We start from the raw sequence: 14,644 nt of genomic DNA, 5'->3' as shown, positions 1-14,644 counted from the left end.
ATGGCACTACTGAGTTAGCCTAGAATTCCTACATATTTGTTCATGATTTGTATTTAGATTATTAGTGTTTCCTGAACTGTTATTTCTGTGATTTGACATATCATGTATATTTAATGAGTAACAAGAGCTACGCACACATTACTGGTTGAAAAGTAACATGAATTTAGTTTTGTAAATTGTTAAGCATTTCAGTGATTTCGGTAGTTTTTAAAGTCTTACATATTCTTCCACTCATGAGAGCTTTTTTAGTCTGTTTTAATTCTGGCAGTTATGTTTCCATGAATAATTATAATCATACTTTCAAAAAGAGATTAACTATTTAATTTCATTAGCTTCAGGTGCATCTAGAAGACCCTGGGTACTTGGAAAAGTAATGGAAAAAGAATACTGTCAAGCCAAAAAGGTAAAAACGACATCATGTGATACTAAGCCTGGGAACTGTAAAGAAGATTTTAATACTGCTTTATATAGAAATCATTACCACTGCTGTTCTTGGCCTTTATGCTCATTTCAGTTAGAGCTTGAATTTAATGAGAGTGAGTTTGAACTGGCAATTTATAAGTATTCATGCTGCCCTTAGATAGTAGAGATAGATTAACTACAAGCTATCAACATATAATGGAAAACTACTACGAAGTCTGTGTTCTATGACTGTTGGGTTGCTAGTGTAACTAATTTGCAAGAAAAAAAATCCCTGCATAACTAGAGACAAAAAGGGAATTTTATTTATAAATACAGTTGATCTTTTATTATTTTCATACTCTGCCCCCATTGAAGAAAGGTAGTGTAAAGTATTTGGTGGCTTAACAAATGGACTGATTGTATAACAATATCAGTGCTCTAGAGTCAGTGAAGTCTTCTGAGCATTCTTCCTGACTCACTATAATTTGGGGCCTCAATGTACAAAATACGAATAGAACTTGAACCATATAGTATTGAGGTTTCTTTGATACTTAAAACAATGATGTATGGCCCACTTTGTATTATATTCTTTAGCAGTGGCTACCAACTTTGTCTTTCCTATTCACTCAATATATTCCCTGTTCGTGAGGGGTAGATCTTACATAGTTTGATAAAGACCCCCACATCCCTCCAACCCCTCAATACTCAGCAATGAGTAATATGATAGGAGGGTACTTGTGTGATGTGGTTTATTTATTTTTTTGTTTCTTTTTGTTTTTTGGGTGTGTGTGTGTGTGTGTGAGAGAGAGAGATGTGGTTTAATCACTCTAGTGATTCCATTTTTTCTTTCCCTCTTAGGCACAAAACAGATTTAAAGTTCCTTTGGGGACAAAGTTTTACAGAGTGAAAGCCGTATCATGGAATAAGAAAGTATAACTTATGGACAAAATTAATACATTCTATGACATTTTTTTCTGATTTGTCCTGCAGTGCTCATTCATCACTCCAAAAACAGCAGGCCATCTTTTTATGCAAAAGTCAGCGTGACAATATACTTCACTGGTGTACATCGTTTACTTTTTAACTGGCTTCATTTTAGGAATAATAAATTCATCAGAATCCTTGGCTGAATTAAAATGGTTTTTGTTTTTTGGTTTTTTTTTTTACCCAGACAACTCTAGAAATGCGGACCAAACTACTTCATTTTCTCAAAGGGCATACCTTGTGCATTGTGGCTTATGATGAGCCATATTAATTGCCTGTTAAATATACACTAGCTTGAACTTAGATGTTAAATGTTATTATTACCAGCATTTGTCCTTTTGTGAAATCAGTATCAGAATACTTGCACTCTTTAACACATTCTTTATAAAATGTATAAATTATTCAGAACTATTTAAAATAAAGAGGAGTGTTATTGCATGCTGATAATCATTTTGAGTTTGCCTCAGTAGATACTAAAGCAAATTGTTTCAGTTTTTTTAAATGCCCTTTGATGTTTCAAAAAAAAAAAGGAACTGTAATTTGATTGACTGATTTTAAGATCAGCCATAAGTAATCAGCAATCTTCAAAAGCACTTTCAGTGGATTGGTCATCTGGGTTCTAAAGGGAAGAGTCTGTGCTACTAACCATTTCAAATGCAGACTCAAACCTTCCCAACATCTTTATGACTCTAGAATAATCATATTGATGAAATCGTAATTCATGGTTGAGTTTCAGAACAAAAGATATTCATTGCACATTAACCATTTAGAGGTCATTTAAATAACAAAATATTGTATTGTAAAAGAACTGTACAATTTTAAAACAATAAAGATTTGAACCTGTAAATGTGTGTGCCTTTTAAAGAAGGATACATTTTTAATATATTTGAGTGATTGCTGGGAAGTGTGAAAATATTGTTATGTATCATATCAAAGAGAAACATGTTTATTACAAAAATGTTCTTTAACTATATACTATGTAACAGGGTAAACAGTGTTATGTAGAATAGAATTGTGTAAACTAGATCTTTAGAGAAGTTGCCATTGAGCAAAGTTATTTAAATGAGTTAGTTGAGTTGGATGAGAATTGTTTGAGGTTTGTTGCTAGAGAACAATAATAAAATAATTCTTTTTCAGAAAATATTTAATTTCTTCATAAAAATAAGTTAAATATTTTTTTAAATATGTATATCTAATAGTACAAAATGGAATAAACATCATAGTGTATAGAAAACTGAATTTGACAAGTTAATGAATAAATGAACAAATGATTTCACATGTTTCTATTTAATCTTTCCATGACATCTTTATGCAAAGACTGTTAAAGCAATAACTTTATATAGAGGGTGATTTTGTTAAGCAGATCTGGTTAGGTGTAAATAAATCTGCCAGGTAGGTAGGCCATTTTGACTTAATTGGTACCCTTCAAATTTCGTATGTGGTCATTGTGCTGTGGAATTTTTGTGACACATGATATCAAATCAAATCATTATCTTATTAATATTGCTGAATATTGTTGAAGATTGTTGCCTATAGTTTCCTTATATGCTGTTTTGTGTCTGTCTTGTCATTGTTCCACATGTATGTTTATAAAGCACAAAAAACGAAATACTTTTCTTAGTTAAAAAGTTGAAGAGAAATGAAACTTGGGAATCTAAACTCATCAACTGAGTTATTAGCTTTGGATAGAGGTGGTGTACCCTAATCTTTGGCATTAGGATACCTCACTTCCAGTTCTAGATATAACTTTAATTTTAGGTGAGTTCCATAAACTCTGAACCTCAGTTTTCTCATGTCTAAAATGGGGTAATAATAGGACCTGCCTCAGAGGGTTATTTTGCAGATTAAATGAGAAATATAAGTGTAAAGTGCTTTGAACAATTTCAGGCATATGCTAAGCACTCAACGTGTGTTAGCTATTATAAAGATTTGTTTATGTAATACAATCAAACCTGTAAGGTACTATTCAGACTTGCATAGAAATGTAGATCCCTTTATTATGTAAGTGAAGATTTAAATCACATTTTACTGCAAGTAAACTTTAAGCACACATGAATTACATAGATTGATTTATTTTGGCAAAGGTGAGTGGATATACTAAGAACAAAATGAACAAAAATCATATGAACGGTCATTTTTATTGTTTTTTTAAAATTGTCAAGGTACAAACACATGCACATCCTTTCCAAAAAATAATACACCCCAAGATCCCTGTCCTATTTCCCAAATTTTGCCACCTAGAGGCGATTACTTTTAATTGTAAAGACATTTGTATATGGAGTGCCAAATTATATAGCTATACTGACATTTTGATAAACCCATGTACATTTTTAATTGACTTTCTCATATAAGATGTAGTTCTTTCTCTCTTTCCTATATACTTTATTACGTTCTAGTTTGTTCATTAAGATTTGCATTATGAAGACTTAACTGTTACCTGCTAAGCTAGGTCCTGAACGATGATTACATTTTCTTGTACAGCCCACAAATTTTTATTTGAAGATTTTTTTTTCTTATTGTGCTGTTATCTTGTAGTTATCATAGCTTCAGTATTTTCAGATGCAGATGCTGCTTCATATTTTAGTCTATCAAGCCACTTTTCTCAGACCTCCATTTTGGAACTGTTCTGTTTCAAACATCTGGTTGCTCTTTAAGCTGACTATTTCATATTCTAAAACTTTCCTTAACATTTTTGTTAGGAAGCTGCATTTCATGGACTCTCATCTTTCTTACTAGAGGTTTTGATCAAGTGACTTCCTAGGAATTAGTGTAATAAATTTTCTGAACCTCTGTAAATAGGCTCATGATTGATAGTTTAACAGTGTCGTTTTTTTGCAGACATTGTCTTCTGTCATTTAGGGTGTTGAGAAATCTAATGCCATTCCATCTGTGCTCTTTTATAGATTATGTCTGATGATAATGTCTTGCAGTTCCTAACCCCAACCATTCTTGGTACTAGGCAGTCAGAGAACCCTTTCAACCTAGAGATGTATGTCCTGTAGCACTAAGGAAATTTTTTTTAGAAAATGTCTTTTTATATTATCTCCTACATTCTATTTAACTAATATTTTAGTGTCATCTGGGAGTTTGCTCAATGTGTCTTTTAAGCCATGTCATTGAATTTTGTGTTGACAACTATGGCTTTAACTTCCAAGATTGCTGATCACCTTTTCATGAATCCTATGCATCTGTTTTTTGTTATTTTTTTTGTTACTTTTTTTGGTTTTTTTTTAACTCTGAAGATACAAATTAGTGTTTTAAAATTTTTCTTATATTCTCTCTATTGTCTTCCATGGTTCTTTTTTTCTCATTTAGTCTTTATTTCATGTTGGAGGTCTTCCTCAAATATCTTATGATCCTGGCTTGTCTCCTCATATTCAAGAGTAGGGCATTAAACTGCTGAACTTTATTTTTAACCCCTTCCACCCTGTATCCAGAAAATAAGGAAGAATTATAGACTTATGATTTTAAACCTTTGTGAAATCTTAGAAATCATCTAACCTAGTCCTTTTTGTTTCATTTTTTATATTGAGATGAAATTCACATAAAGTTAGTCATTTGAAAATGAACAATATCAATACTTCATTTTTTATGGCTAAAATTCCATTTCATATATATATATCATATGTTATATATATATTTATAAAATATATCCCATAATCTGTTTATTCATTCACCTCTTCATGAACATTTAGGTTGTTTTTACCTTTTGGCTGTAGTTACTAGTGCTGCTATGAAAACACGTATGTACACGGGTACCTGTTTTCAATTCTTTTGGGTATATCCTAAGAGGAGAATTGTTAGAAAGTATGGTAATACTATGTTTACCTTTCTGAAGAACAGCCAAATTGTTTCCAACAGTGGCTGAACCATTTTACACTCCCACCAGCAATGTATGAGGGCTCCAACTTTTTCATATGCTTGCTATCACTTCTTGTTTTCTTTAAAAAAAAAAAAAAATCATGCCCATTTTAGTGAGTGTTACTTGCTTGTAGGTCATTTGTGTGTCTTCATTGGAGAAATATCTATTCAAGCTCTTGGCCTGTTTTTTAGTTTGTCTTGTTTTACTATTGATTTGTAAGAGTTCTTTATATTTTCTGGATGCTAAACTCGTGATTTAGAAGTATTTTATCTTTTGTAGGTTGTCTTATTAAATCTTTGATGCACAGAAGTTTTTAATTTTGATAAAGTTCAAGTTACCTGTTTTTTCCTTTTTTGCTTGTGCTTTTAGTGTCACAACTTAAGAATCCATTGCCAAATCCAAGGTCATAAAGATTTACTTATGTGTTTTCTTCTAAGAGTTTTATAGTATTCTCTTTCATATTTAGGTTGTTGATCCATTTTGAGTTAATTTTTGTGTATGATGTGAGGTAGAGATCCAACTTCATTCTCTTGCTTGTGGCTATCCAGTAATCTCAGCACCAGTTGAAGAGACTATTATAAAGAATGATAGTGTTTTTATTACTGTAGCTTTGTAATAAATTTTGAAATCTGAAATTATGAATTCAACTTTTTTTTCCCCAAGATTGTTTTGGCTATTAGGGGTTCCATCACATTCAATATGAATTTTAGGGTTGGTATTTTTCCATTTTGGAAAAAAAATCATTGGTGTTTTGATAGGGATTGCATTCAGTCTGTGGCTCACATTGGGGGGATGTTGACGTCTTAACAATATTAAGTCTACCATCCATGAACACAAAGTATTTTTCCACTTGTGTCTAATTCTTTTCACCAAAATTTATAGTTTTAAATGTAGAGGCCTTTTACCACTGTGGTCAAATTTATTCCTAGGTATTTTGTTCTTTCTGGTGCTATTATGAATGAAATTGTTTTCTTAATTTCCTTATATTATTCATTGGGTAAAGAAACATAACTGATTTTTGTGTGTTGATCTTGTACTCTGAAACTTTGCTGAATTTATTAGCTCTACCATTTGTGTGTATATGTGTTGTGTATTCTTTGGGATTTTCAGATTATCTACAAATTCAAATAGTTGTACATCTTCCTTTTCGGTTTGGATGCCTTTTATTTCTTTTTCTTGCCTTATTTCTCTGGCTAAAATTTCACTAGTGTGTCAAACAGAGATGGTGAAAATGTACATCCTTATCTTGTTCCTGATCTTACAGAAAAAGCTTTTAGTCTTTCACCATAACAGTACGATGATAGCTTGGGTTTTTCACGTATGATCTTTTAGTTGAAGATGTTTTCTTCTATTTTAAGTTTGTTGAGTAGTGTTGTCGTCGTTTTCTATCATGAAAAAAAGTGTTGAATTTTGTCAAATGCTTTTCCTGCCTAAATTGAGATGAATATATGAGACTTTTTTCTATTAGTGTAATATGTCAATTGATTTTTGTATGTTGACTCATCCTTGCATTCTGCGAATAGATCACACTTGGTCATTATATTATCCTTTTGATATGCTGCTGAACTCAAATTTGCTAGTATTTTGTACAGGACTTTTGCATCAGGTACTTTAAGTGGAGGGACCAATTATCTGAGGGTCCTAATCTGCTATTTTCTGTGACATTACTACTGGCCTAATCATTTTAAAGATAAAACAGGCTCAGAGACTTTAGTGACTTGGCCACTGTTGCAGAATTATAATCTCATCTGGGAGTCAAATTGATCACTTCTGACTTCTAACGGTGATTTTCCAATTAGGGGGAAAAATTTCAGTGTGTACCTTAATTTCTTCTAGTGGTTAAAATAGTTGAATCACTGAATGTCATTACTTTAATGCATGGGCCCAAAAGAACAAAAAGGGACTAAAGGGATACATTTGCTGAAAATGAATAGTGCGGTATTTGCTTCAGATGCTCTGAAGTTGACTGATACAATAGATTGGTTATTTCCTGTTTGTTCAAAGTTGGGTGCCTTGAGGCCCTTTTCATTTTGAAATATCTTTATATGTGTTCAGCAAAGTATAGTTTCCTTAAAAACTTTGGGTTTCCTATAAAACTGACAGAAGTTCTCTAAAAGTTAAGTCGTAATTCACACAGACTTCTCTCTGGAAGGCTAGTGTACTATGGGAAAACACTCAAGACTCCTAGGAGCACCCCTTGTCTACATAAGAAGGTCTATTAGGCTTATGACTTAAACCTGAAGTCATAGCAAAGGGCCTAACAGCCACAGGCTTGATTCCTTACCCTGAAACTGTCTGTCTTTGAGAATTTTCAGCTTGCTGCAGAGACTGGATCCAACCCAGCAGAACAGTTTCTTCTCTGTTTCATCTCTCTCTTCCCATGCCTTACTATACAGAACCAAAATAAGCCAATTGATGCTTTGAACATTTCCTGGAAACTAACCTTAGCCAGAGTCACAACTTCATAGTTTTGCCATTTGTTTTGCCACCACAAGACACAAGTTCCTATCTTTCCAGCTTTCAGTAGCAGTTTCTTTACTTTTCCAGCCTCTGCTAGTACAATTTTCTTCACTATTCTTATAGCCTTTGTGAGGCAGTGCCATGCGTTCTAAGTTTTTGTTAGGGCAGCAGTCTCACTGTTGGTGCTAATTTCTGTATCAGGTGTATATTGTGTAACTGTTAATGCCTACATTTGCTGGCTTAAAATAACCATTTGCGCATGTGACTGCAATCATGTCTGGAGATTAGTTAGGGATGCCTTGGTTCCTTTTGAGTCTCTATCAAAATGCCTGGGGTTTCTTAAACAGTGGCAGCAGCATTCCGAAAAGAGTGACAGCAAAAGAAGCTTGGAAGTCATGTCACTTGGTCAAAGTAAGTCACAGAGCCAGCCCAGAGTCCAAGTATAAGAGTAGCTGCAAGGAAATTGTGATCTTTTTAAAATCACATTTTTTTTAAAGTTAGGTCTAAAATAGCTATTGCCCTTTAAGATTTAGATAAAAATTTATCGGTATACTTGGAGTTTGTTTTTTTTTAAGCATATGATTTAATGATGCCTAAAGGCACCAAATTTGGTAATGTTTACTTTAAAATCTCATTTTCATAGATTTATCCATTTTACTTTGAAGTAAAAACTGGAAAGCTGTGAAAACTCTTTATTAATGTCCACTAATTGATAGCTCTTAACGTTAGTCATACTCTTAGGACGTAAGCTGTCTTTGGCCATTTTAAAAAAATGCTTTGTATAGTTTATAATTTTTATGGGTAAGATGGAAGTTATTTCAAACAATTCTTAACATAGTGGTAATGAGACTGAACAGTCAGCTGTAAGCTATTTGGGTTTACATATTTCTTAGGTGTCTCAGACTTGGAAACCAGTTAGAGCTCCACCTGCTTGTTTCATTCCCACCTTAAAATGAAGCTTAATAGCAATACCAATTCTAATGTTAGTAGAAACAAGTAGCAAGCCTCGAGATAACAAAATGCAAGATTAGTCCTCCATGTACTCTTCTAATCAAAGCAGTAATATAATGTACATGTCCTGTAAGAATACACATAGGACTGCCTCTTTACCCAGTATCTATGCCCCATTGAAATACCGTGCTAGTGAACCATTTTAACCATGTCACCCTTTGGCCTTCTAGAGACAAGAATCCCTCTAACTGTACTAAACCATCACTAAAGTTTTAAATGTTGACAATTTAAGAATTTGCAACACTAGGCTCTCAAGAGCTATTTTTACAAATGTTATGTTTTGCTTTGGAATGAACTCTTCCAGTTTTGTGGGACCTAATAGCAAAGATGCTTTTGACAATCTAGTTCCAAATCAGTGGTGTAATACCCTTTTCTTAGACTGCTCTGGAAGTACCATCAATTAATTCCTCTAATAGTCATAGTATTAGTGAGGAGTTAATTAGGTGTCAACTGTAATCTCTCTGGAATTCTACCAGTGGGCTCCTTAACCAGCCCAGGCTTCTAACATGAATTGCCTAGTTTCTTAAAGAATGAGTTCTTAAACTTCTCCAAAAGTACGAAGCTTATCTTCACAAGCATACACTATAACTGTATTCTTTCAGCAATTTCTGGCCTAGTCATTTCTTAAAAGTTTATCTCTACATTCTACCTGATTGAGAAGCACGACTCCTGGAGTTGTCAACATGTCACCTTTAAAATAGGCTATCCATTGTCCAGTAAAAATCTGTGCCTTTTCCTTTCTGTTTTCATGCCACCATATGCTTAATTAGATCCTTTCTAAAAGTAATGCATTTTTTATTAATATTCCCCCAGTTCAGCCTATAGCATCAAAGAATACAGGGAAGCATGAGTGGGCTCCTTACTCCTTAAATGCTGACAATGGCCATTTCACACTCTGGAAATCTTACTAGAGGGCTCTTCCTATTAACAATTAGAACTAAAGGCAATTGTGCATATTTAAAATATTTTGAAGTGCCTTACAAATAATAGTATTTTATTAAATAACTTCATAAGTAAGAGCATTTAAAAATGCTACTCCTTAAGAGAATTCTCTCACCTCTCTGGTCTTGGTACTCCCATGTGAAGCGGGAGTATGACAGGTCACTGCCTAACTCTGAAACCTGTTATTTCCCAAATGACCTCCACGTTAACTAGCGATGACCATGAGCAATTGTGCACTCCTAAGACATCAGAGAGGCTTTTCAAACAATTGAATGTTAATTTTATTAAACAGCCATTTACTGTTATTAATAAAGAGTATGCTCAGTTGAGGTAGTTGAAATCTCACATCATGAACTAGCAACAGTCCCTAGTTCAGAGGATTGGAAGGTGAGTAGAGGCTTGTGACTATAACTGGAATGTCAAGATGTTTCTCCACATTTAGAGCACATGTGTGTGCATGTATAGTCATCTTTTTGCTTGAAAGATAAATCTCTTTCCTTTTATAAGTATGCCAGTACTGCGTGTTTTCTAAATATCTTCAAACTTTTGTGAAATTGAAAAATTTTATAATTTACTACTAGTTTTTCCATGTTGTATACGTGCAGGGCATGTCATGTGGGGTATGATACTGGTATAATCGGTAAAATGTAGTTGCCAAGAAAAATATACTAATAAATGGATTCTTTTTGTTGGAAAGCAGAATTATCAAAACGTTGACTGGAAAGCTGGAAATGGGAACAAGAATTAGTAGTCAGGGGACCTAATGGCCCAGCTGTGGTAGCCTAATGTGGGCGGACGCGCCCTCTCAGTGTAGCTCACACATGTCTTCCTTCCCCCAGCACCCTTCTCTAGGTCACTTTCTCATCCCTGTTGGGTCCATGCTGTGTTTTTCAATTTTTCAGGTGTTAGCTTTTTTGAGACTACAATAATTATATTCTAGTTATATCTCTGAGACTACAGCCGAGTCCACATTGTCTTGGTTGGACTGCTCATTGTTTTAAAATCCTAGCCACACATCCACAACCTCTTAGACTGTTTCTTTAGATAATTGTTGATATTTTTTTAAAAAAACTCGTCTAATGTTATTCAGGCTGTAGGGGGTGCCTGATTCTGTTTGTGTGTTCTCTTTAGCATTTGTCTATTAAACCATCCTGGAATTGGAAATAGCCCAAATTGTTAACATAAATGTGGAAAATTCCAACTTTTGACATACTGAAATACCTGTTCAGTGCCTCACTGCAATATTATTTCTAATTATTTTAATTCAGGGCACATCACTAGAAGTTTATGATTAGAATGAGGTTCGGAAAAATCTTCATTAAATAATGCCTGACATCAAAATGATCTTTGTATTCACATAACAGTGAAATTATTTTGATTAGAAGGGCCAAAGCAAAATGCCTACGATTGCAAAATGGAAGCTGACTAGAATATCACTTCACTGAAGTTGTTTTGTGTGATATTTTCTCACAAGCTTTTTTAAAATATTTTTTTCTTTTTTGGCATGGGGTCTCACTGTGTCACCCAGGCTGGAGTGTACTGGGCGCAGTCACTGCAGCTTCGACCTCCCCGGCCCAAGCAATTCTCCCACCTTAGCCGCCCGAGTAGCTGTAACTACAGGTGCTTGCCACTACGCCCAACTAATTTACTTTTTGTACTACAGACAGGGTCTTGCTATGTTACCCAGGTTGGACTTGAACTCCTGGGCTAAAGCAATTCTTCTACCTCCGCCTCCCAGGCTTGCAGTCTACTTTCTGCTCATTAAAACTTCAGTACTGCACCTCGCCCAAGCTTATCAGTAGGTCCATATCATCGGTGTCAGTAGTTGAACCTCAAAAATGCTTGAGTCGAACATAGCCGTCATTATTTATTTGGTAAATATTTTAAGCTTAGACATCTCCAGAACCACTTTCCTCCAGAAAATTCCAGTGTTTTATGCAGCTCTTGCTGCCTAGAATTGTAGGTATGATACAATGTCACATTCTGACAAGGTGCAGAACACTTTTGGTTTATAGACCTGGGTTGAAACCCCGATTCTAAAGGAAATTACTGGTTAGCCTATGCAACTTAGTTTTTTAGCTTTAATTTCCCTATCTATAAGAAATAATCTTCACAACTTACTGTGATGTTCACAATGAGAGGAAGTTAAGTAAAAGTATTTTTGCATATTGAAAAGTGCTGTAGAAATATTTATATATTCCTAGAAAGATTTCAAAAAGCTTCCACATACTTTCAAAACACTGATGAGAAGTTGCAGGGTGCCTTCCTAGGCTTCGATGTCAATACTGCTGTTATCTTTCTTTACAAAAAAAAAAAAGGCGTGTAAGCTCTCCACCCTATCTCACCCCATCCCCAAATCCCATAAAAAGTTGCTCAGACATGGCAGAAGACACCTGTGTATTTAAGAAAGCACTAAAATGCATTTCTACTCTCTTCCCTCTGTTTTTCTTTGGGATAAAGGTTGTATTTATCTTTTAAAAATGAAAAGTGGGCCAGATGTGGTGGCTCGCGCCTGCAGTCCCAGCACTTTGGGAGGCTGAGGGAGGAGGATTGCTTGAGCCCAGGAGTGTGAGACCAGCCTGGGCAAAATAAACACCATGTCTACCAAAAACAAAAAATTAGACAGGCATGGTGGCATGTGCCTGTGATCCCAAGCTACTCAGTAGGCTGAGGTGGGAGGATCACTTGAGGTGGGAAAATTGCTCAAGCCAAGGAGGTGGAGGCCGCAGTGAGCCGTGAGCGATCACACCACTGCACTCCATCCTTGGCTACAGAATGAGATCGTGTCTCAAAACAAAACAAAAACAACAAATAAAAGCTTTTACAAATAAAATATTTAACTTTTCATCCTAAAATTAATGGTGGTTTAGGCTGGGCGTGGTGGCTAATGCCCATAATCCCAGGACTTTGGAATGCCGAGGCAGGCAGATCACCTGAGGTCAGGAGTTCAAGACCAGCCTGACCAACATGGTGAAACCCCATCTCTACTAAAAATATAAAAATTAGCTCGATATGGTGCTGCATGCCTGTAATCCCAGCTACTTGGGAGGCTGAGGCAGGAGAATTGCTCGAACTTGGGAGGTGGAGGCTGCAGTGAGCTGAGATCATGCCACTGCACTCCAGCCTGGGTGACAGAGCAAGACTCCATCTCAAAAAAGTAAAATTAAATTAATGGTGGTTAGCAACATCTAAAGATTATTTAGTATCCACATTTTGTGTTTGAAAATAATTTTAACAAATATATTTTCAAATACTTTAATCTTTGTTTTAATTTAAATCATTCATTCCAGGCGCAGTGGCTCACGTCTATAATCCCAGCACTTTGGGAGGTGGAGGCAGGCAAATCACTTGAAGTCAGGAGTTCAAGACCAGCCTGGCCAACATGGTGAAACCCCATCTCTACTAAAAATACAAAAATTATCTGGGCATGGTCGTGGGCACCTGTAATCCCAGCTACTTGGGAGGCTAAGGCAGGAAAATTGCTTGTACCCAGGAGGCAGAGGCTGCAGTGAGCTGAGATTGCGCCACTGCACTCCAGCCTGGGTGACAGAGGGAGACTCCATCTCAAAAATAAATAAATTAATTTTAAAAATAATAATTTAAATCATTCACTGGGAACAATCTTTTTTATTTTCACAGTTCAATTTTGCTTTTTTCTAAAACTAGTTGTTAAGGAAAACACAACATATATGAAATATAGAGGTTTTTCTCCCCCATAGGAATTAAAGATTTTACAGAACTAACCTTAAAGCACACACTTATCTTTTTCTTTCCAAATGAGAGAAGTTCTTTAAACTGTGAGGATTACTTCTTAAAATTTAAATGAGCCCTTTTTGGATTGTTACAGAAGTGCCTCATAAACCTCATAAACATTTCTTTTCTTTTTTCTTTTTTTTTTCGTTGAGATGGAGTTTTGCTCTTGTTGCCCAGGCTAGAGTGCAGTGGTGCGATCTCAGCTCACCACAACCTCTGCCTCCCAGGTTAAAGCGATTCTCCTGCCTCAGCCTCCCCAGTAGCTGGGATTACAGGCGTGCACCATTATGCCCGGCTAATTTTGTATTTTTAGTAGAGATAGGGTTTCTCCATGTTGGTCAGGCTGGTCTCCGACTCCCAACCTCAGGTGATCTGCCTGCCTAGGCCTCCCAAAGTGCTGGGATTACAGGCGTGAGCCACCGTGCCCAGCAACATTTCTTGAGGTAGTTTACATGCTTCAAAAATAACTGAACTGAGAAAGTGATTAGCTTTGTCACTTCTTCCACATCTATCTCCTTTAGCTGTATTTGGCTTATCTTAAAAACTAAGATCTTCACAGAAAGATCTCAGGCAAAACTGAGGTTCCTTTTTGGTCTTTACTTTGCGTATGTCATGGATGCAACAAACCGTAGACTTTCCACAGTGATAATTAGCCCAAATTGGCTTCTAATGAACAATGCCCAGTTACTTTCAGTTTATCCTAGCAGAACCTTCTTTGCCTAAACTATTGACATAGATGTCATTTACTCAGCTGCTCTCTATCAGTGTTTGTTAGGTGGAACCTTATAAGGTCTCATCTAACATTTCAAGGAAGCAAGAGTGAGTCTAGGGAAAAGAGAAATCCATAATTTTACAATTAAAGCTGCACTTGTTGCTTAATGTATTTGTCCTTATGGGAGCCAGGTGTATTCTGAGATGGACATTAGAACTTTTCAGAAGACATTAAGAGTTCAGTGACCAAGTACTTGTAGAGAATTGAATTAGGTATATTAGTTACACCAGATGCATCAGGGAAACTGATTAATAATTAAATCAGGAGAGTTCTTTTTTTTTTTTTTTTCTTTTTTCTTGAAACAGTCTTGCTCTGTCACCCGGGCTGGAATGCAGTGGCACAATCTTGGCTCACTGCAACCTCCACCTCCTGGGTTCAAGTGATTCTCCTGCCTCAGTCTCCCGAGTAGCTGGGACTGCAGGCGCACACCACCACACCTGGCTAATTTTTTGTATTTT

The 14,644-nt window shown here is 35.6% G+C and overlaps 1 protein-coding gene across 15 annotated transcripts in view; it reads left to right on the top strand.

Annotated features, from left to right (window-relative positions):
- RB1CC1 (RB1 inducible coiled-coil 1) overlaps positions 1 to 2,662 on the top strand; it is a 91,978-nt gene extending 89,316 nt beyond the window's left edge. For 11 of the 15 annotated variants that reach the window (XM_017014109.2, NM_001083617.2, NM_014781.5 and 8 more), the window contains 2 exons: positions 333 to 403; positions 1,261 to 2,662. In XM_017014109.2, coding sequence (XP_016869598.1) covers positions 333 to 403; positions 1,261 to 1,338 — 149 coding nt within the window. In that variant the 3' untranslated portion in view covers positions 1,339 to 2,662. The remainder of the gene's footprint in view (positions 1 to 332; positions 404 to 1,260) is intronic. The other 4 variants (XM_011517645.3, XM_011517644.4, XM_017014108.3 and 1 more) reach the window with 1 other exon arrangement.

This window comes from Homo sapiens, chromosome 8 (assembly GCF_000001405.40).
Source record: "Homo sapiens chromosome 8, GRCh38.p14 Primary Assembly".
In the NCBI taxonomy this organism is placed as follows: domain Eukaryota; kingdom Metazoa; phylum Chordata; class Mammalia; order Primates; family Hominidae; genus Homo; species Homo sapiens.
This window is presented reverse-complemented; position numbering and strand designations above follow the sequence as displayed.